Below are 21,874 nucleotides of genomic sequence, written 5' to 3'. Positions count from 1 at the left end.
TTTCTTGCTTCAGAATCAGACTCCAGCAACCAGAGAACAAGCCATTTAAAGAGCCAGGACTGTACATTTATAGCATGAAATGTATTCGGTCATCTATGAGGAAAACGTCTCACAAAAATGTGAGCCATAAATTACCTAATTTTCTTGTTCTTCATTTTCTTGCTCTTAGTGCTCATACAGATCTTCCTCCCGTGGGTGTGTATACGACCAGCTTTCTTGTTCTTCCTCCTAGAAAGTCTAGGCACCCACCCCACATACCTTCACAGGTTTCAGTTGCTACACTCTTCCTTCTGGACACAGCAACAGATAATTACTCCTTGAATTCTGTGTTCTTTTGAGCAGGTTTGACCCCTGGCGGCACTGAGAAGTTCAGCTTTGTAACTTCCCATCTGCTCCTCTTACATTTCTCTTGCTGTTCTTACGGGCCCTTTCTTGTCCCTTTCATTTAAGGACCTTTGGAGAGTTGCAGCCTTCCTCTCTTGCAAAGCATTTAAGAGAGGTTCCTGCCCACCCGTCTGGAACCGTTAGCCATCCTACCCTGCTAGCCTGGGGCAATATTCCATGTAATACTCCAGCACCTTGGTCTGAAGATGACAGGGCAAAGCCCTTGTTCCTGAGGCCCATCTGATGGGCGAGTTCCTACCCCAGGACATTATCTAAGATCGTTGTTTTATTTGAAGGAATTCTATCTAACATGGTATTCCAAGATTTCCTGCGCCAGAGTCACTAGGTTGGTTTTTTTAGGTGCAGATTTCTGGATAGCACCCCAGACCTATTGAATTAGACTTTCTGATGGGCAAACCTTAGGAACCTGCATCTTAAAGTTGATTCTTTACACCTTCGCTCCAACAAAGGGCTAAGACTCAGCCTGGGCCAATTTCCTCACCAAAAGATGGGTTACGTGTTGTGTAAAAGGGGGTGTATTTGGGGTCTCCTGGCTAGGAGACTGTCCACACTTACGGGGCCTTGGCTGGGTCAAGCAGGAAAAATAGTTCAGAAAGACCTTCAAGCTAGTTCTGATATGGCAAAAACCCAGTCTTCTGCCAACCAAATCAACCCCATAGGCCATCCAAGGCCCCAATAAACAGATTGTCCTGGGCCTTAGCTCCTATACCAGTTACAAAGAGGCTGAGCTTCTGTCACCCCAAGATAACACAGGCTCCTGGGATCTTACCAATTACCCCAAAATTGAAGGCAAAAATGAGTAAGAAGTCAGTCCATTTGTTCAACTGCACCCATTTTTTTTCCATGAAAAAAATACAGGGGTGAGTAGGGGGCTGTGGGAACCCTATACTTTCCACTCAGCTTTGCCGTGACTCTCAAACTGCTCTAAAATTAAAGCATTTTAAAATGCAGAGGGATGCTGGCTTCTGGAGATAAGAAGGTAGGAGTATGATAGGTGGCAGTGTCCATGGCATGTACAACACGTATAGAAAGATGGTTTGCTAAGTCTGGAAATCATGTAGGACCTGTAGTATGTGACTAGCACCTGCTGTGAGCTGGCCACTTTCCTATAGATTGTATCATTTTATCCTCAACACAATCATGGCATCATCCCTTGTTTCATAGACTGGGACTTGAGACTCCGAGTCGGCCATTTGCCCAGAGTCCCAGCTGGTGAGTGAGTGGTACAGCCAGAAGTCACACGCAGGTCTCTGAGCTCGCCTCCCTCCACCACTGCTGCCTCTCCCTTTATTTGTACTTCATCTAATAGGCAAGGCAGCCATTGACAGCTCTCAAAGGGGGAAGTGCTGGCCTGACCTAAAAATAGCTTACATTTATCAAGCACTTAGTCGGCTACACTCTGCTAAGCACTTTACAGAGATTACCTCTTTAATCCTCACAACGACCCTATGGTTATAATTATCTCCATTTTACAGATGAGGAAACAGACTGAAGAGAGACTGTGAGGTGTTGTGAGTCACACAGCTAGTTGGTGACAGAGCCCCAAGTGGCACCTGGGCAGCCAGTGCGAGTGCAGTCTCCACCTACCACTGCGCTGTGCCCGCTGCCCCCGGGGAGCGGGGGAGGATGGGACAGGCCCTGTAAAGGTCGAGTTGATAAGACTTTACAATTCATTGAATGTGGGAGCAGAGGGAGAAAGAGCAGTTCAGGCGTTGCTGTGAGTCAGCTAATCCTGGGCCCCTTCTTTGGGACCTGAATGCCCCACGGGATGAACTGGAGGTCAGGAGCAGAGATGTCACTCAACCCTCCCTACAGAAATTAGAGGTCCCTTTTGGATGGTGTGTTCAAGCTCTCCCTCCCTGGTGCTGTGGGGGGTGTCATCTCTCTCCCGAGATAACAGGGACACCTCAGTCCTCCTGGGGCTATTCTGGGCTGCTGTCTGATCCTCCTCTCTCCCCCAACCCCTACTTCAGCCTTTCTGCTGGGCGTAGCTGAGTGGGGAGGGCCAGCCCAGTTACGTAACCCTGTGGCTGGGACCCGGGAGGCCAGCCTGGGAGCAGGTGCTCAGCCCCTCCCTCATCACCAGCAGTGAAAATCTAGAGCTGGAGCTCAGCCTCTGGGAAGGCCCAGCATGGAGGCAGCCACAGCTCCGGAGGTGGCCGCAGGATCCAAGCTGAAGGTGAAAGAAGCCAGCCCAGCGGATGCTGAACCACCCCAGGCTTCACCTGGACAGGGGGCTGGCAGCCCCACTCCCCAGCTCCTGCCCCCTATAGAAGGTGACCCATGGCAGGTGGGGAGGGTGGGGAGGCCGGGTGGTGGGAGTTGGGGAAGACATCGCCACCTTCCTGAACGGCGCCTCAGGTTTTCTGCAGAGCTAAAGACTCTATAGGATTGGTGATTAGGCTGGAGATCATTCGTGAGAGCCCCCATCCCCTGTCCTTGATGGAGTCTAACTTGCTGCTCAAATGTCCCTGCTAAGTTTTTGTGTTTTAGCTGAGAAGTCAGTGATGGTGTTGGTGGCACTTTACAGTGACTAAAAATGATCTGTTTATATTTTTACCTTTTAAAAAATTGTCATAGGGACTGGGAAGACCTGATATACTAATGGCCAGTCAGGAAGGGACTGAGGGGTAAGAGATAGTGACTGTCTGCTGAAGGAACAGGGAAATAAAATGCTATGGCAATGGGGAGGCTAAGAGTGGGGCAGCACAGTGACACTCGGCCTCCTGCTGGGCAGTACCACGGGGTCAGGACCTCCTCCAATCCCCCACTGCTCCCATAGGAGATCCTGACCCCTCAGAGTCTGAGCTCCACGGAAGTGGAGCTCTCCTGGGAGAAGCATTCAATTTCCCCTTCACGATGGTCTCTGTGTGCCTCTCAGCAAAGAGGCGTTCCCAAGTGAGGAATTCCAACCCCGAGCTTCCTGCCGCCCATCCCTGAATGCCCTGGCTGAGGCCTCTGTAGCTAACCACTTCGTGGCGCTCACCTGAAAGTCTTAAGAGGATGAAAAGACCACAATCAAGAAACACGTGGACTCCTAGGGCAGGAAGAGGCAGGGGAAAAGATATACTAGACTTGGAGGCAAAGCTCTAGGCTCAATTCCTAGTGCCGCCTCTAACAGCCCTGTGACCTTGGACAAGTCACTGGACTGCTCAGTTTCCATTTTCACTCTGTAAAATGGTGATTAATAACATCTACCTATCAGGGTAGTTGAAAGGATTGCTGAGATGATCCAGGGTGCCTTGGAAGAGGCCAAACTAAGATGTAAATAAATGATCAAATATTTCCAAGTGAGAGGTGAAGGCTGCGTTCTACCTCCATAGGGTTGTGCAGCAGACTCTGTCTGCCTCTTATCCTCATGGGAGAGGCCAGGTTTCCAGAAACTATTTGAATGTCAAGGGCAGAGAGCTGGCCAAGTTTGTCCCGTTGAAGATGAAGGGAGCAAAAGTTAGTGTAAATATATTAAGCTGGGGTGATGGAGGCAGAAAACCAGTTTCTTCCCTTAAAAGGCCCAGAGAATAAGTGACAGGCAGCAGGAGAATGAGAGCCAGGACTGCTGACGCCTCAGCTCTCTCTACTGGTCTTCCCAAAAGCACAAGGGAGAGTGCTCATCTCCCCCATGCTTCTCCCCTCTGGCTGCAGCCAGCTCCTGACAGCCCCCAGTCACGGGCCCGCAAATGCAGCCCAAAGCCTCTCGTGTGCAGCAGCTCTGTACACTGCAGGCCTCAGGGCCACTAGCACCCAGTGGCTCAACCCAGTGGTATCCCAGAAGTCACTGGCAATAAGAACACCTTTGAATACTTTGCAAAATATATGTGCATCTGTTAACTACTTGGAACAAAGAAGTCATGAGTTCAAATCTTAGCTCTGTTCTGTGGCCCTAGGCAAGTCAATCCACTCCCATTTTCTCATCTGTAAATTGAGGAGTTGAACCAAATCAGGGTCTTAACCTTTTGGTGGATATGGACCCCTAGGAAAATCTAATGCCAGCTGTGGACTCTTGCCCCTGGAAAAATACACAAAAAAGTTCAGAGAGCCAACAGAGCCCCAAACCCCCACCAAAGATCCTTCAGGGTGCAATGCATGGGCCTGGACTAGATGACCCCTAAGCCCCCTGAGAGCTCCAAAGCCTTTCTTCCTCCTAACTCCTCTTCCTTACAGAGAGCTCTGGGACTGAGTATCACAGGAAGCATGTGAAAACATGGGAACTAGAGCAGGCATCAGAAATAGAAATTAATTTGCAAGATCAAAACCAACTGCAAATGGCCAACAATGAGCTTTTAGTTTGGCAAGCCTGCTACATGGCTAAATAAGCAGGAGTAGGTGGCCAGCATTGGTAAACAGTTCTATGTCTGTCCTCAGCACTACACTGAGTACTGTGTCCTGGAGACAAAGCTTGGCAGGGGCCAGAGAAGAGCTTCCAAAACAGGGAGAGGCTGGGGAACAAGCTGCATCCCTCCCATGGACAATGTGACACTCGGCCTCCTGCTGGGCAGTACCACGGGGTCAGGACCTCCTCCAATCCCCCACTGCTCCCATAGGAGATCCTGACCCCTCAGAGTCTGAGCTCCACGGAAGTGGAGCTCTCCTGGAAGAAGCATTCAATTTCCCCTTCACGATGGTCTCTGTGTGCCTCTCAGCAAAGAGGCGTTCCCTGGGACCCTGAGGTGGAGGAGAAAGAGCCCATCTGCTGACTTCAGCATCATCGCTCCAACTGACTCTGTGTTCTCTTTCAATCTGAACTGTTCTGTGTCTTCCAGGCATGGGAAACTGAATCTCATGCCTAGGAGTGACCTTTCTTCCCTCCTTCCTTCCGTCCTTCCTTTCCTCCTCCTTCCTTCCACAAATATTTAGGTTGTGCCTATGATGTGCCAGGCGCTCTTCTAGGTGCCAGAATTACAGAAATGAACAAAATAGGTAAAAATAACTGCCCTCATGGAAGTTAGATTCTAGTGGAGGGAGCTAGACAATAAATAAACAAGTAAAGTATCTAATATGTCAGATGGTGAGAAATGCTGTGCCAAAACTAATGCAGGGACGGGGATAGAACGTGCTTCGGGTAGGAAGCATGCAGGCTTCCTGCTTCAAATGGAATATTCAGTGAGGGTCTCACTAATAAGGTGACATTTGAGCAGCAACTTAAAGGATGTGAGAAAGCAATGCATGCAGATATTTGGGGGAATATTTTCCACACAGAGAGAACAACTGCAAGGACCCTGAGGCAGGAGTGTGCTTTATGGGTTGGGGCCATTGTGGCTGTAGCACAGGGAGGGAGACAGTGGCAGTATTTCAGTCTGAGAGGTAGCACGGCCGCTGTGAAGACTTTGGTTTGTCTACGAGACAGCCAGCCAGCCAGTGCAGGGACTGGGAGTAAGGACTGACAGGACCAAGTGTAGATTTTAAGGATTTTTCCAGCTGGCCATGTTAAGAATAGACTGTAGGTGGGCCTTAGACACTAGCAAGATCGACAACTGGGAATGAGAATGAGGGAGAAGGTAGGGAGGTTTTAGAAGAGAAAGGTGTGCGATAGTCACCCAGGACAATGGGAGACCGAGTGAACTTGGGAAGTCTAGTAGAATTGCCAGAGTTCACTTGGAGGTGGTGGTCACTATTAATGGCCCTCAAGTTAAACTCCATATAATTTTGTATTTTCCCCCAGTCCTGTTACTCTGTGCAGATACAGCCACTGAGTGGGTGGGAAGTTTATTTAACAAGGGTTAGGTATTGCCAAGAGAGTGCAATGAAGTCAAAGAGGACTCAGGGATTTGAGTGAGTGCAAGAGAGAGAGTATAATAATGACCGTGCAATCTAAGTTGGGTGGTGAAGAAAGTGCTAACATGAAAGGGGTGCTAGGTAGTGAGAGGGTGGTAGGACAATGGATCACAGATCTCAGTGGTGCCAAAGAATTGCTGGTGTTGGAGCACTGGAGGAAGTGAGCTAAAGGGATAAAGATTATATTAGTTAGGTATACTAGTGAATGAAACAGGTCTCAGGAATGACATACATCTATTTCTCACTAGCGTAAGAACTAAAAACTATTCTGCAGATAGTTCTCCTCCATGTGGTAATCCAAGGACCCAGGCCTCTTTCATCTTGGGGCTCTGCCATTCCTTAGGGCCCGTGATCATCTGTGTACAGCTAGCAGAAGAGGAAAATAGAAATCTAACTTCTTCAAAGCCTGGGACCAGATGTGATTCTCACCATTGCCACTTACGTCTCATTGGCAAAAACTGGTCGCGTAGCCATCCAGCAAAAGGTGGCCGGGCAGCCACTTCTCAGAGATAGCTACGCTACGGAAGGGGTAACATACATTTTTTTTGGCCAGTTAGCCATCTCTGTTATAGAGGTGGTGATGAGACAGTGGGATGCTTGTAATTCTGATCATAGAAGGATTGTAGCTCTTGGTCTAGAGAATGGCCACAGGGACCATTGGCTGAATTAGGAGAGGACAAAGTTATTGGAGGAGTGGTGGGCCAGATGTGAGAGACCCTACGGGGACTGGAAACATGGGTGTTGGGACCAGCAGGAGTTATGCCTGGAGAGGCATACCGCATGGAGAGGGTGTTGGAGAGACAGTGAGCCAGGGCTAAAACCATCAAGCACTAGGGGGACGACTGTAACATAGGGACGGGGTGGGGTGGAGTCTTTTCCTCAGAGAAGTGTTGCCTGTTCCTATGTCCTTTTATTTTTTCTGACCTTAGTTTCATGGCCTTCAAGAAAGTGACACTCTTGTACCACTCCTTTCCCATTGCACTCCTCCAGACAGGTTTCTGAGTAGACCAAGGCCACATCCTAGGCATCTGGTAATGTTTCTCTAAGAAATCCCGGTACTTCTTGGATTTCTGGAAACCTCTGGATAGTTTCAAAGCCATAGCTAGCCTCCTGCATTCGCCCTCTTTTGGTAACCCTTCACCCACATAGGCACGTGTGTATGCAGGCTCCCTCTCTCTCTCACACACACACTCTCATACACACACATACACACACCATTCACAGACACACGTAAACACACCCATACACACATTCATGCACGTACACAAACACACACATTCACACACATACACTCACACACACATACATACACACTCATACAAACACACACACACCCTCTCCACTTCTCCAATGCTTCCATCTTGGTTCTTGGCTCTCCAGGTCATAGTTAGTAACATCGGTCTGAACTATACAGCCCCTAGGGAGCCTCTGGAGAAAGACTGATCCCATAAAAGGGAATTATGAGAGGATAGGAACAATTATAGAATAGTAAAACAGGCATAAACTTTAGCAGGATAAAAGTAGGGTAGGTATTAGGAGGAATTTTCTAATCAGAAGTCAAGATCTTTGGACTTGAAGTAGTTTTCTCTCTTTTTTTTTTTTTCTTTTTGAGATGAAGTTTTGTTCTTATTGCCCAGGCTGGAGCGCAATGGTGCAATCTCGGCTCACTGCAACCTCTGCCTCCCAGGTTCAAGCGATTTTCCTGCCTCAGCCTCCCAAGTAGCTGGGATTACAGGTGCCCGCCACCACACCTGGCTAATTTTTGTATGTTTAGTAGAGATGGGGTTTCACCATGTTGACCAGGCTGGTCTTGAACTTCTGACCTCAGGTGATCCACCCTCCTTAGCCTCCCAAAGTGCTGGGATTACAGGCATGAGCCACTGCGCCCGGCCTGAAGTAGTTTTCTCTAAGAATTTTTTAGAAAGAATTAAACAGCATCCTGTCTGAGAGAAACATTGTACAGAGAGAGCCTAACTCAGAACCAAAGGCCCTCAAAGGACTTTTCAAGATGCCTTTTCTCTAAGACCCCATGAAGGGAGAAAACCAAACTGTGACTCTCACAGACCTGCTCTTAGAAAACCTAGGCTCTTAAAGACTCTAGGCTTTGGTTCACATCCCTCCTGTCATCTAAGGAGGAGAAAGACCTTGGGCATCAGGGGAAGCCATGCCTCCCCAAGGTCAGTACAATTTACACCTCGCTTGACTGCGGATGTGTGAAAAGAGATGCCTCAAATGAGCCCCGGCGTTCACATTCTTAGCAAAGAGTCAGATTGCGCCTGGGTTGGGTTGAGAGGCGATTGGAGAGCATGCTGCTGACCTGCTGACTGGGCATCTGAAGCTGCCACACTCTCTCCTGCCACCTCTGCACGTAGTCAGCTGAGTTAGCCTCACGTCCATACTCTGCCCTCCCACAGGGAGCCGGGAGCCTGCTGGGAGCAGAGGCCTCACCTACACATCCTCAGAGTCCATTCTAGAGACTTAAGTTTCGTCATCTTGTCAGGAAACCCACTGATAAGCAGAGAACCGGCAATGGAGCCGTCCAGGGAGGGAGAGACTGCCGTCCTCGCGGGCAGCCTCCTTCCTTGCTCTCGCGGGCAGCCTCCTTCCTTGCTCTCTGCCCAGCCAGGATCCCCTCTAGATCCAAGGGCCAGTCTGCTCCTCTTCCTCTAACTCCCACACCTTAGCTTATGTTCCACATAAACCCATTTCTTTCATTTTTCTCTTTAGTTCAGGTGTAAGAATGCTAACATTTTCCCAGGTGTTTTTCTAAGAAACAAAAGAAACACTAGGTGGAAACACATACATCAGCTCACAGCTACCCATAACAGCCCATTCCCTACCTGAGGTCTCAGCAGGGCGGGGCTCAGCGGGCACTTCTGTCAGGCATGAAGGCCTGGGTTCCTCTCCCCACCTCAACCCTTTGCAGTTCTTGGGTATGTCTAGCCCCCGCCTTCCCTCTGGGCCTCCTCCCTCCAGGGGCAGGCCACTGTCCAAGCCCTGACTATGGTGCTCATTGCTGGGTGGACACTGGTGGGCAAGACACAGCTAGTGCTCTGAGAATGGGTCCTTCAGACACACAATCTTAGATGGGGAGGCAGGAGTCTCTGGTGCCAGGCACGTCGTCACAGCTAGCCGGGAGGTCTCCAGAATACCGGCTTCTTTCTCGGAGCCCTCTTGCTCCCAGCATCCTTGTTCTGGTGCTTACAGGCCCTTCCTAATGCCGACATTCTGTAGGCAGGCGGCACAGGGACAGCAGAGCCAGCTTCTCTCCAGCCCTCTCCCCAGCAAATGTAGAAAGGGTTATTTCCTCCCCCAACAGTGGGGAACCAAGCCTGACAAGATGAGGTTTTGACCCTCCTTTCCAAGTACGGCCCTCTTTTTCAAAACACTATTAAGTCATATCCGCCCGTCTTCAACTCTTTGGTTGCTTGCCAAGATGGCCACAGGAGAGAAGCCCATCACACAAACGCTTCTTCTGTTCTTCATGTCCCGCCCCTCCCAAGCCACCAGAGCCCAGCCGAGGGCAGCCACAGCAGGGTCACTCAGCCGCCTGCAGCTGCTGCATCTATGCTGAGGCAGTCAAGACCTGAGCAGGGCAGGGAGGACGGGCACTCAGGCCCATCAAGTCCCCTCGTCACATATTCCTGAGGTGCAGTCTAAGACAGGCACAGCCCAGGTGAAAACATAAGCCACACAGCACAGAAGGAAACTGCAGAAACCAAACGGACCGTGTGCACTGTACATTGCCATTGATCTTCATTTGCAAAGGTCTCGCGACCTTGAGATTATCATGGGGAGACTCAGAGTGAAGTTCTCTGGACAATGCTTGCTGATTGAGCTGGAGGAAGGACACAGAAGAAGCTCTGTTTCAGTTGCGTCACTTACATGTTTGTGTTATGTAATGTATGTATTTAAACAGTTCATCTATAAGTAAACATACATATGTCATAGTGAATGCTCAGGGAAGTATTTTCACAGAAGTGTGTGCTATCAAAGAGTCTGGAATCCACTATCGAGCAGTCATGCTGTTTGCCACAGGAATGTACCAGGGGTGAAGTTCTTCCAACTGCCAAGAATGAACTGTGGCAAGAATCCTGGGTTGTTGGGAACTGAAGCACTATCACATTCTACTGAAGATAATATCAGCCAGGCGACTGCCTGTGCCTGAGAAAGGAGGAGACAGCAGCCAGGAAAAGGCCAGAAAATGGTGTCTGTCTCAGCCAGGCCCCCGAGGGAACGCAGGTGGAATGTTTGTGCTTCGGCAGCTGAGACAGTGTGAGGCATCCCAAGAGGAGAGAAATGATACCTGGTCAATCTCCAAACCTACACTCAGCACTTTTCCAAGCATTTCCTGTCTTCATCCTGGAAGCCCATACACATCATCTAATCTCTACTTCTCACTGGGACAGACCTGTGAGATCAAAGGGAAATGAGTGGTGGACCTAATCTGTCCCAGAATCTGTACAAAATGATCCTCTGCAAACTGGAAGAAGACTGTGCAGGCGCCCGGGAGCAGAGTGGCCATGCAGAGGAAGGGACCCAGACACGTGCTCTGTCTGCAGTGACATCAGTGTTGTCTCCGTGGGCGGCTGGGAGGTCAGGGTGTTGACTCTGCCTGCAGAATGGAGAGCATTCTCCTGAGACCCACACCTAACTGGGAGGTCAGGATTGACATGGAAAGTGGCCTTGATAAAAGGAATGGTATTAAGGACAAATGTAGAAAAGGGTGGAAAGACAAACCACACAGACCAGGCTGGTCTGTACACAAACAGAAAAATAAAAATGCCTCCATCAGGATGGAATGCCTCCAGATGATGGAAAGTCAGTACTTGAGAGTTACAAATTAAGAGAACTGTCAGACTCGCACTCCAGTGTTCCTTCTGCTGAGACTTTAATGTTTCCCGGGGTGTTCCTTAAGCCAACCCCTCATCCCCAAATCCCAGCAGGATGATGGGAGCACTCTTCCCCTCCCCTCTAAGAAGGGCTTAATTTGGTGACCGATTCCTGGGCCACTCACCCACAGCAGGCAGCTGGATGCAGGATTTACTTTCTCTGAGTATCCATCTCCTATTCTCTCTCTTTCCATCACTCAGAGCACCCCAAGATCTGGCTACCTCGGGCCCTGAGGCAGACCTACATCCGGAAGGTTGGGGACACAGTGAACCTACTAATCCCATTCCAGGTGATCATGCCAGCCCCATACTGGGTCCATGTCTGGGGCCAGTGCAGGTTTTGGATTTGGAAACAGATACCAAGAGTCCTGCTAGCAGAGGGGCAATCTTCCCAGCCTTGGATAGAAGGGGTCACACCACCAGAAGTCTGAGGCCAAATGACCTCTGCACTCCTGAAGGTGGGTTTGGATAGGACTGGGTGTGCACCCATGAGATGGTGTGAGGCTAATCCATGCCCTTCAGTCTACAGAAGCCTCAGAGCTTGCAGTTAGAAGGGTTCTTGGGAGTTTGAGTGGCTATTCAATTGGTCCCAGCTGCCCCGGGTGTTCATGACCTAAGCTCTCAGAGATTGGGAGACTCAAAGCCATCCCTCTTTCCCAAGATCCTTAGGCTGTTGCTGAAAGGAGGAGGCCCCCGGGAGGGTCCACCAACTTCTAACTCAAGGAATGTGCAGCTCCAAGTCAAGCCTCCCTGTGGACCTGGGGTGGACAGGACCCCTACAGCAGCAGGGAGAGTCAGGAAGCCTCTCGGGGCTGCTCAAAGCATTACCCTCATTCCTCAGGGCAAGCCCAAACCTCAAGCCATCTGGACACATGATGGCTGTGCCTTGGACACCAGGCGTGTGAGTGTGCGGAATGGGGAGCAAGACTCCATCCTCTTCATCCGAGAAGCCCAACGTGCTGACTCAGGTCGCTACCAACTCCGCGTGCAGCTGGGTGGGCTGGAGGCCACCGCCACCATTGACATCCTGGTGATTGGTACGGTGGGGGAAGTGGGAGATGGGGGGGTCCTCAGGAACTCCCTCTCCAGGCTGAAGAGGAGCCAGCTCAGAGAGCTGGGGAAGCTGCGGCAAGGCTCCCACGTCATGTCTGGGACACAGGGTGGGCGCAGGAGGGGTAACTGAGGAGAAAAAGGGGCTAGGGCACTCCTGAAGTGACTTCAATGCATGTGGGATGTTCCACGCCCACTGCCATGGCTTTGCCCTTTCAGAGAGGCCAGGCCCTCCTCAGAGTATTAAGCTGGTGGACGTTTGGGGCTTCAGCGCTACACTGGAATGGACACCGCCCCAAGATACGGGGAATACAGCACTTCTGGGATACACGGTGCAGAAGGCTGACACAAAATCCGGGGTGAGGCCAGCTGGGAAGGAAGGAGGGTGGAAGAGGGCATGTTGGGACAGGCCTCTGGTAGCTCCACATGGGGTGGCTGATTTCTGGCATCATGTTCGGCCCCGCAGCTGTGGTTCACGGTGCTGGAGCACTATCACCGCACCAGCTGCATCGTCTCTGACCTCATCATCGGCAACTCCTATGCCTTCCGTGTCTTTGCTGAAAACCAGTGCGGACTCAGTGAAACAGCCCCCATCACTACGGACCTCGCCCACATCCAGAAAGCAGGTAAGGGAGGCATGGGGATCATGAGCTGGGAAGACTTAAGGATAGGCCGGGCACAGTGGCTCACGCCTCTAATTCCAGCACTTTGGGAGGCCAAGGCAGGCGGATCACCTGAGGTCAGGAGTTCAAGACCAGCCTGGACAACATGGTGAAACCTCATCTCTACTAAAAATACAAAAATTAGCCAGGCATGGTGGTGCACGCCTGTACTCCCAGCTACTCAGGAGGCTAAGGCAGGAGAATTGCTTGAACTTGGGAGTTGGAGGTTGCAGTGAGCTGAGATCGTGCCACTGCACTCCAGCCTGGGCAATAGAGTGAGACTCCACCTCAAAAAAAAAAAAAAATACTAAGGATAAAGAGTCGACGAGGGCTGGGATCTCAGAAGCTACATGCCAGCCCCTCTTGGTGCCCTCAGCTACTGTTTACAAGACCAAGGGGTTTGCCCAACGAGACTTCTCTGAAGCCCCAAAGTTTACCCAGCCTCTGGCCGACTGCACTACAGTCACCGGCTATAATACCCAGCTCTTCTGCTGTGTCCGCGCCTCTCCCCGGGTGAGTGGGGGCTCTGGGGGGCACTGTGCTGAGCTGCTTCTTGTTCCTGCCTGTCCTAACCTAAGCTGAGTTGCAGAGCACTGTAACATAACATCTGTTACCATCACCGCCATCTGCCTCTTCTACAGCACGGTATTTAGGAACAGTCGGGGGGGTGCTTGGAGTCCAAGACGGACTGATGAGAATGACATTTCCTTTTGAATGTTTGTTTCTCATATATGGAGGTGTTGCTTACTGACCTGCTGGCAATTAGGCATGCGCCTCAAGTTGTTTCTGTGGTAGGAGTGACAGAGTCCCTGTGGTTTCTCCTTCCCATGCATACCTCATCCCATCAGGGCCGTGCACATGCAACCTGCCTAGAGTTCAGCCTTTTGCCACAACCCTGAGCAAGGCTCTCTGTCTATTTACAATCTAGTCATCATGCTCCACACACAGCAGAAAACACCATTAACAACCTGTACCAAGAATCTTTTGGGTTTTGAGTCTGGGCAAGACTACATGGAGATAACATCTCAGAAGGGGCATATCAAGAGCCCACTCTAGAAGCTACTCTCTAACCAGAGGGGACAGAGGCAACTCACAAGTCAGCAGTGGGAACAGAATATGGATGGTTCACAAGAGGTGAGCCTGATGCTCAGTGCTTCTGATCCATAAAGGGGCTGCCTGAGAGCCCGGAACGGAAGTTAGCAGTTTTCTTCCAGTCAGAAATATTGGTAAAGAAAATGAAGTTTCAGGTGCTGTTTTCAAACAAGAGAAGGAGCTTGGGGGACTGCTGGTGGCACTGGAAGGGGAAACCCTTCCCACAACATAAGGAACAGGGAGCCTTCCAGAAAGCCATTATCTCTATATAGACAGAGTCCCAGAAACTGAGCACAGAAAGACTATTGGTTCTTACCCTCGCCCCTCCTTGCTGCCTCCCTCATCTTTGTCTTCCAGCCCAAGATCATCTGGCTGAAGAACAAGATGGATATCCAAGGCAACCCTAAGTACAGAGCCCTGACTCACCTGGGAATCTGCTCCCTAGAGATCCGCAAGCCGGGTCCCTTTGATGGAGGCATCTATACCTGCAAGGCGGTGAACCCCCTAGGGGAGGCATCTGTGGACTGTCGGGTGGATGTGAAAGGTAAGGGCAAGAGGAGAACTAGTGCCTTAGGGTGCCAGTCACCTCCTCTCTCCACCGGTGGAAGAGTCAGGGAACAGAGACGCAAGCCTAGGGGGAGAAGGGGTTCCTCCGCTGGACTCTTTCATCACTGTCATCATCAGGATGTATTGGAGGAGACATTTTAATTATCTACTATCTCATTTCTCTCCATCACAATTCAATAATATAGGAAGAATTCTTATTTCCATTTTGCAAATGAGAAGACGAAAGTACAGGGAGGGAACTGGTTTGCCCAAGATTCCCAGTGTCAGTTAGTTGATCACCTGGCACTGGTGGAAATAGCCCAGGTCTCCGGGTCCTCGCTCAGCTCATTTTTCTTTATGCTGTGCAATCTTCTGACTCAGCCTAGGAAAGCTGCAACTGTTTGTCAGGCTTTATTTCACTTCCCCTCCGGTTTATTTATAGGTAATATTGCATATCCTCTCTACTTCCTTAAAGTATTTAATCACTTATCTATACCTGTCACCTTGTTCAGATCTCTATCATTGTGTTTAACATACTGTTTTATAATTATCTATTTATAGATATGTTTCCCTATTAAATTATAAGCATTTTGAGGGTAGGGACATTGTCTTATTTGCCTTTGTCCCCCCAGTGTCTAGCCCAGTTTCTGACACACAGTAGGCACTCTAAATGTTTGTTGCATGGATCAAGAATGAATGAGCCCTTACATGTCCTGTTCTTCTCTATGTATAGACTACCTAATTAGCACCATTGACTCCCCAAGAACCTGAAATAGAATATTCCTTTCTAATGCTCTGAAAGAAAGTTTCTCAGAGATTTCTGAGATGTTAACACTGAGAAATGTCCGAATTATTACAGTTCCTAATTGAGGACACCTAAGAAGGCATGGTACTCTGACAAAGGTAAGTAAAGAGAGGCAAGATGTCTCACTGGATTACTTCCTGTTTATGGCTAGTGTTGTTGAGTCAGGGACAGAGGTGCATTCCTGAGCCTTTCAGTCATGTATCCACTGGTGGCCACTTTTGTTGTAACCATTTTTTTTTTGAAATGATGTCTTACTCTGTTGCCCAGGCTAGAGTGCAGTGGCGCCATCTTGGCTCACTGCAACCTCTGCCTCCTGGGTTCAAGCAATTCTTGTGCCTCAACCTCTCGAGTAGCTGGGATGACAGGCGCCCGCCACCATGCCCGGCTAATTTTTCTACTTTTAGTAGTGATGGAGTTTCACCATGTTGGCCAGGCTGGTCTCGAACTCCTGACCTCAAGTGATTCACTCACCTCGGCCTCCCAAAGTGCTGGGATTACAGGTGAGAGCCGACATGCCCAGCTGTTGTAACCATTTTTATATTTATTTATTTATTTATTTATTTTGAGACAGAGTCTCGCTTTGTCGCCCAGGCCGGAGTGCAGTGGCGCTATCTCGGCTCACTGCAAGCTCTGCCTGCCGGGTTCATGCCATTCTCCTGCCTCAGCCTCCAGAGTAGCTGGGACTACAGGCACCCACCACCACGCCCGGCAATTTTTTTTTTTTAGTAGAGACGGGGTTTCACTGTGTTAACCAGGATGGTCTCGATCTCCTGACCTCATGATCCACCCGCCTTGGCCTCCCAAAGTGCTGGGATTACAGGCGTGAGCCACTGCGCCCAGCCTGTTGTAACCATTTTTAAAAGCGATACTGTCATCCCTGTGGAGAGAATTTATAGTAGATGCAGTCTGCTTTTGTCATATCCTCTCTATGTCTGCACTCCTCAAGTCGATGGTAGGAATTAAACCTAATGAATGGTCCTCTGAAGAAGAGTGACAGCATCCACCTAATCATAAGGAGATTCTGTGGGAGGGAGCTGAGCAGGTATTGTAGGAAAAGATGTCAAGGGAACAATTCAGAGTGCAGGAACCCACAAGAGTCACAGCACCTTGTGCCTGTGGGGTGTGTAAGGACAGGGGAGGCTGCTCCTGCTGACTGAGTAAACGCCTCAGGATCATGAGCATGGTAAAAAAAAATGGATTAATATATTTGTTTTTTACTTTGAAGCTTATGGATTCCTTCCCTTCCAAGAGAAGAAAATCCTCTTTCTCATTTATGTCAATTATAATTTAACCTTTAGGTGTGTGGTCCCAAGCAGCACATTATTGGCAAAAGACAGCTCAGCTCATCATTTAGAACCGGACAGCTCTTTTAGATTTTCCGTCATTCACATTAGCTATGTTGTGAACAAAGTGATGCATAAGGCGAAAAAGAAGCTTGAGACAGAACTAAAGAGAACAAGTTCCCAGTGTCCTCTCTGACTTGTAGCTGCTGGCTGATGGAAATTGGAAATGAATTTGATCCCATAAGACATTTATTTAAGGCTCTCACTGGTATGTAGCAAATGAAAGCCTAAAGGGGTGCGTTACAAGTACAGACTTCTCAGGAAAGCGCTCTCCGACAGTCGGCTTGCAGAGACAACTCTCCCTCCCTCACCTCCCTCTCTGTGTTAATGATACTTGTGTTCGTGTTAGTTGCCCCTTTCCCTCTCTCACAGCCAGTGCCCAGCAATGAAGTGAATTCATGGCACAGGAGCCAGGGACCGTGACAACGGTGCCCTCAGCAGCCTGGTGTCCTCTGGCCATTTGCTGTCATGGCTACAAAGTGCTCCCTCTTTTCAGTGCCTCCAGGAAGCCCGCCAGTGGTGAGACTGTGTCCTCAAGGAGCTTCGGCACCATGTCTGGTTTGGATTCATCTAAATAAATATGTGGTTCCCCAGTGCCTACGTGTCCCTGTATTTGAGACTTTCTATGAAACATTTGGAAAGTTGCCATCCTTTAGCCAGGCTGTAAGGAACCACAGGGCCTTAAGACTCCCCTTTATCTTCCCACAACCACATTCGCTTCCACAGAGGTTTCTAACACTGTCCTTTTCCCTAGACATCTACGACACAACTGAATTCAACCCTCCACAGTACTAAGTGCTGGAAAGAGATGCCGAAGATGACTTGCTCTCTGCCTCTATGGGCTTTCCAATTTAAGTTGGGATAACAGGACGCACATCCACCACAAAGAGGCAAACAGCAGAACACAAACATGCACATAGCTAATTATAGACAGAGCCCCAAGACCTGAGGGCTGGAATGATACTCAAGAAATTGGAGGGCTGGGCAATGTGGCTCATGCCTGTAATCCCAGAACTTTGGGAAGCCGAGGCGGATGGATCACTTGAGGTCAGGAGTTCGAGACAAGCCCAGCCAACATGGTGAAACCCCATCTCTATAAAAATACAAAAATTAGGCTGGGCATAGCGTCTCACGCCCGTAATCCTAGCACTTTGTGAGGCCGAGGCAGGCGGATCACTTGAGGTTAAGAGTTCAAAACCAGCCTGGCCAACACAGTAAAACCCTGTCTCTACTAAAAATACAACAAAATTGGACAGGTATGGTGGCGAGCGCCTCTAATCCCAGCTACTCAGGATGCTGAGGGAGGAGAATCGCTTGAATCCAGGAGGCGGAGCTTGCAGTGAGCCGAGATCATGCCACTGCACTCCAGCCTGGGTGACAGAGCAAGACTCCATCTCAAAAAAAAAAAAAAAAAAAAAAAAGCAAAGTATTTGGAGCAGAGTCTCATTAAACCCAGGAAAAGAATAAAGGTGAGGTTCCCTTGATTATCTTTGTTTTCATTCTGATGACAAATAAGATATTGAAGGTGTTCTGTGATAGAATCTGCAGAAGATGATAACAGTTCCTCCTATCTTTGTATGAGCACGGTGCTCCTCTCATCAAGAGTTGGAGTCTATTTCCCCTTCCCTTGAATCATGTGACTTGCTTTGACAGAAAGAATGTAGCAGAAGTGACGTGGCACCAGTCCAGGCCTGGGCCTTAAGAGGTACCTTAGTTTCTGCTTTTGCTCTTAGAAGTCAGCTCCCATGTAAAGGATCTCAGGCTAGATTACTGAATTATGAGAGGCCACATGGAGGACAACCAAGCGTCCCCACTGAGAGCCAGCACCATGGCCCCGGACACACGTGGCCACCTTGGACCCTAGAGCCCCAATCAAGCCCAATCAACACCTTGTAGAGTAGAAACAAATCACCCCTGGAGAGCCCTGCCCAAATTGTAAAATCGTGAGCAAATAAATAGTGGCTGTTGTTTCAAGCCACTAAATTTTGAAGTGGTTTGCTATATAATCATAGATTACTGAAACAACCTTCTATGCAACAGGCACTGAACTAAGTGCTTTATCTCTTTTAATCTTCATTTTACAAATGAGGACGTTGAAGCTCCTAAGTTGTCCCAAGTCATGCAGCTAGTAAGCAGCAGAGCTAGGATTTGAACCAGGTCTGTCTGACTCCAAGGCTTTCCTGCTTTCTCTCATCCCTTTTATCTGGTGATCCCCACTGTAGAGGGTCTGGGTTGGAATCATGCGTTTAAGAAAGAAAATATTTCCAGGAGGCAATACATATTAGGAAAGGTTTTGAGGAGGTTGGGGAAGTGATTTGGCTGAGCAGAATGTGAAGGGCCTTTTTGTTCAGACCAAAGGTCTATTTTCAGTTGAGGCAAAGTATCTATTCCAGTCCGCAACTGAAGTTCCAGAAGAATTAAGCCTCCACGCCATAAGGCATCCTTTGTGTCATAAATTAACTTATTTCTATGCAATTAGAATGTTACTGGGTATATACTATCCCTTTGAAAACTGAGAAAATAGTCATGCAAATCATTAGTAAGGAACCCCTGCTTGAGAGTGTTGGGGGAGGGACCAGAGTCCAGTGACAGCCAGCCATGTACACAATGGCAAAGAGGCCTCCCTCCAGTGGAAGCAGGACCTAGGTCAGGAAGGGGTGAAATACCCCCAGTTATGATGCCCTAAGGATAAGTCAGACCTTTGGCCTCAGCTCACAGCCCCTTCCCTCTGCTGTTCCCTGAATTACTCAAGGGCCATCCTTTAAAGATTGTATATTCCCAAATTTCATGGTGAAGAAATAAAATTACACTGCCCAAGACCTCCAGCCATATTCTGCATTGAAGGAGAAGCACGCTGGAGTCCTTACTGTTCTCATTTATGCATCTGACACTTAAGGAAGACTTCTGAGTTCAGGCCTACTATGTGGCTGGGAGAGGAGGAATTTCTTTCTTTCTTTCTTTCTTTTCTTTCTTTTTCTTTTTTTAGACAGAGGCTCGCTCTGTCACCCAGGCTGGGGTGCAGTGGCATGATCTTGGTTCACTGCAACCTCAAACTCCCGGGTTCAAGTGATTCTCCTGCCTCAGCCTCCCATGTAGCTGGGACTACAGGCACGTGCCACCACACCCAGCTAATTTTTTGTATTTTAGTAGAGACGGGGTTTCACTGTGTTAGCCAGGATGGTCTCGAGCTCCTGATCTTGTGATCCGCCTGCCTCGGCCTCCCAAAGTGCTGGGATTACAGGCGTGAGCCACCACGCCTGGCCGGAATTTCTTCATTAATTCATTATTTATCCAAAAACTTAAACACCTGTTCCTACATGTCATTTTGGGGTTGAGATGAGGAAAACAAATATCAATATTTCCCAGATTACTGGCTGCGCGAAGAATTTTTGTGCCTGAAAGCTATACATTCTGGCTTTGCTGTCTTTCTAATGGAGGTGAAAGTAGTTCTGTTGCCTTCTTTTTTTTTTTTTCCTGGTACTGCAACAGCTTTCAAAATCATAATTTGGGCTGGGCATGGTGGCTCACGTCTGTAATCCCAACACTTTGGGAGGCCGAGGAGGGCGGATCATCTGAGGTCAGGAGTTCAAGACCAGCCTGACCAACATGGTGAAACCCCATCTCTACTAAAAATACAAAACTAGCTGGGTGTGGTGGCACATGCCTGTAATCCCAGCTACTCAGGAGGCTGAGGCAGGAGAATTGCTTGAACCCAGGAGGCAGAAGTTGCAGTGAGATGAGATCGCACCATTGCACTCCAGCCTGGGCCACAGAGCAAAACTCTTGTCTCAAAAAAAAAAAAAAAAAAAAAATCATAAACTGGTGGAGTTTCCTTAGGAGAAATTAACTTCCAGTTTGCTAAAACTTCCTCCTCTACTCATCTAAGGATGGATGAAGTGTAGGGTTTCTCTACTCAGGCTGCTCCAAGGGGAAGAAGGAACGCAGTTCATTAACAGCTTCTTCCCCTCTGATCTCCACTTTGCTACTACTTGCCTGGAGAGAGGGAAGCCCTACTTGGCTCTAATTCTCCCACCCTCCATGTACCCTAAATCCTGCAAGCAACTGACATTCCATCTTCATTAGCAGAAGAGGCAATCCTCTTCTCTCTGCTCTTCCTCACATAAACTTGCAAGTTCTGGGTCTTCCCACCCTAAATTCTAATAGGCTCTGTCAATGAAAAGAGTTAAACTCCATAAAATATTTGAAGAGATTTCTTCTGAGCCAAGTATGAGTGACCAAGGTCCCCTGACACAGCCCCAGAAGATCCTGACAACATGTGCCCAAAGTGGTGGGGCTATGGCTTGGTTTTAATCACTTCAGGGAGACATCAGACATCAGTCAATCCATGTGAGATGTACATTGGTTCAACCTGAAACGCCGGGCAACTTGAAGCATGGGTGGAGGGGCTTCCAGGTCATAGGCAGATTCAAAGGTTTTCTGCAGGGCACAGTGGCTCACGCCTGTAATCCCAGCACTTTGGGAGACCGAGGAGGGCGGATCACGAGGTCAGGAGATCAAGACCATCCTGGCTAACATGGTGAAATCCCATCTCTACTAAAAGTACAGAAAATTAGCCAGGTGCGGTGGCGGGCGCCTGTAGTCACAGCTACTCGGGAGGCTGAGGCAGCAGAATGGCGTGAACCCAGGAGGCGGAGCTTGCAGTGAGCCGAGATCACGCCACTGCACTCTAGCCTAGGCAACAGAGTAAGACTCCATCTCAAAAAAAAAAAGAAAAAAAGGGGGGGTTTCTGATTGGCAATTGGTTAAAAGAGTTATTATCCAAGACCTGGAACCAATTGAAAGGAATGTCTGGGTTAAGATAAAAAGTTATGGAGACCAAGGATTTATTATGCAGGTGAAGCCTCCAGGTAGCAGACTTCAGAGCTCTTATCAGACCTAAAAAGGTGCCAGACTCCTAGTTCTCTCCTGGATCAGGGAAAAGACCTGGGAAGGAACAGGAATTCTCTACAGAATGTAGATCTTCCCCACAAGACACAGCTCTGCAGGGCCATTTCAAAATATGTCAAAGAAATATATTTTGGTAAGAGCTAAGTTATGAGAACACAAAGGCATAAAAATGATACAATGGACTTTGGGGACTCAGGGAAAGGGTGGGATGGGGTGAGGGATAAAAGACTACAAATTGGGTGCAATGTACACTGCTTGGGTGATGGGTGCACCAAAATCTCAGAAATCACCATAAAGAACTTATTCATGTAACCAAACCCCACCTGTTCCCCAAAGACCTATTGAAAATATATATATTGCACTGGTAAAGTCTCGTGTACATTGCCCATAACTGGATCC

General features: G+C 48.9%; 1 protein-coding gene across 5 annotated transcripts, besides 5 other annotated features; it reads left to right on the top strand.

The window, feature by feature from the left end:
• Positions 1,521-2,259: an enhancer, noted in NCBI's record as "H3K27ac-H3K4me1 hESC enhancer chr1:109849891-109850629 (GRCh37/hg19 assembly coordinates)". NCBI's record gives its function as "activates a minimal SCP1, AML or CMV promoter by ChIP-STARR-seq in primed H9 embryonic stem cells {active_cell/tissue: H9 hESC(primed)}" and the evidence as "EXISTENCE:reporter gene assay evidence [ECO:0000049][PMID:30033119]".
• Positions 2,260-2,999: an enhancer, noted in NCBI's record as "H3K27ac-H3K4me1 hESC enhancer chr1:109849151-109849890 (GRCh37/hg19 assembly coordinates)". NCBI's record gives its function as "activates a minimal SCP1, AML or CMV promoter by ChIP-STARR-seq in primed H9 embryonic stem cells {active_cell/tissue: H9 hESC(primed)}" and the evidence as "EXISTENCE:reporter gene assay evidence [ECO:0000049][PMID:30033119]".
• Positions 2,517-17,163, top strand: MYBPHL (myosin binding protein H like). 5 transcript variants are annotated; one of them, XM_017001175.2, is made up of 9 exons: positions 2,517-2,681; positions 11,271-11,359; positions 11,911-12,037; positions 12,339-12,478; positions 12,586-12,745; positions 13,158-13,294; positions 14,231-14,417; positions 15,279-15,322; positions 17,064-17,163. In XM_017001175.2, exons 1-8 carry the CDS (start codon positions 2,537-2,539, stop codon positions 15,287-15,289), a joined length of 996 nt encoding a protein of 331 aa, XP_016856664.1. In that variant the 5' UTR covers positions 2,517-2,536; the 3' UTR covers positions 15,290-15,322; positions 17,064-17,163. The 5 variants fall into 5 exon arrangements, with proteins under 5 accessions (XP_016856664.1, NP_001252542.1, XP_016856662.1 ...); NM_001265613.2 differs by having other exon boundaries at positions 16,940-17,163; XM_017001173.2 differs by having other exon boundaries at positions 11,911-12,106.
• Positions 8,175-8,684: an enhancer, noted in NCBI's record as "H3K4me1 hESC enhancer chr1:109843466-109843975 (GRCh37/hg19 assembly coordinates)". NCBI's record gives its function as "activates a minimal SCP1, AML or CMV promoter by ChIP-STARR-seq in naive H9 embryonic stem cells {active_cell/tissue: H9 hESC(naive)}" and the evidence as "EXISTENCE:reporter gene assay evidence [ECO:0000049][PMID:30033119]".
• Positions 8,685-9,195: an enhancer, noted in NCBI's record as "H3K4me1 hESC enhancer chr1:109842955-109843465 (GRCh37/hg19 assembly coordinates)". NCBI's record gives its function as "activates a minimal SCP1, AML or CMV promoter by ChIP-STARR-seq in naive H9 embryonic stem cells {active_cell/tissue: H9 hESC(naive)}" and the evidence as "EXISTENCE:reporter gene assay evidence [ECO:0000049][PMID:30033119]".
• Positions 12,263-12,834: an enhancer, noted in NCBI's record as "H3K27ac-H3K4me1 hESC enhancer chr1:109839316-109839887 (GRCh37/hg19 assembly coordinates)". NCBI's record gives its function as "activates a minimal SCP1, AML or CMV promoter by ChIP-STARR-seq in naive and primed H9 embryonic stem cells {active_cell/tissue: H9 hESC(naive and primed)}" and the evidence as "EXISTENCE:reporter gene assay evidence [ECO:0000049][PMID:30033119]".

This window comes from Homo sapiens, chromosome 1, assembly GCF_000001405.40.
Source record: "Homo sapiens chromosome 1, GRCh38.p14 Primary Assembly".
NCBI classification, from domain to species: Eukaryota; Metazoa; Chordata; class Mammalia; order Primates; family Hominidae; genus Homo; species Homo sapiens.
The sequence above is the reverse complement of the archived record's forward strand: the minus strand, read 5'-3'. Positions and strand labels throughout refer to the sequence as shown.

Excerpts from the sequence above, each read along its gene's own strand:
- MYBPHL (XM_017001173.2), top strand. The coding sequence starts at position 2,537 with ATGGAGGCAGCCACAGCTCCGGAGGTGGCCGCAGGATCCAAGCTGAAG. Across the intron at positions 11,360-11,910 it reads ACCTACTAATCCCATTCCAG|GGCAAGCCCAAACCTCAAGC; the intron begins GTGATCATGCCA and ends CTCATTCCTCAG. Across the intron at positions 13,295-14,230 it reads GTGTCCGCGCCTCTCCCCGG|CCCAAGATCATCTGGCTGAA; the intron begins GTGAGTGGGGGC and ends TTTGTCTTCCAG.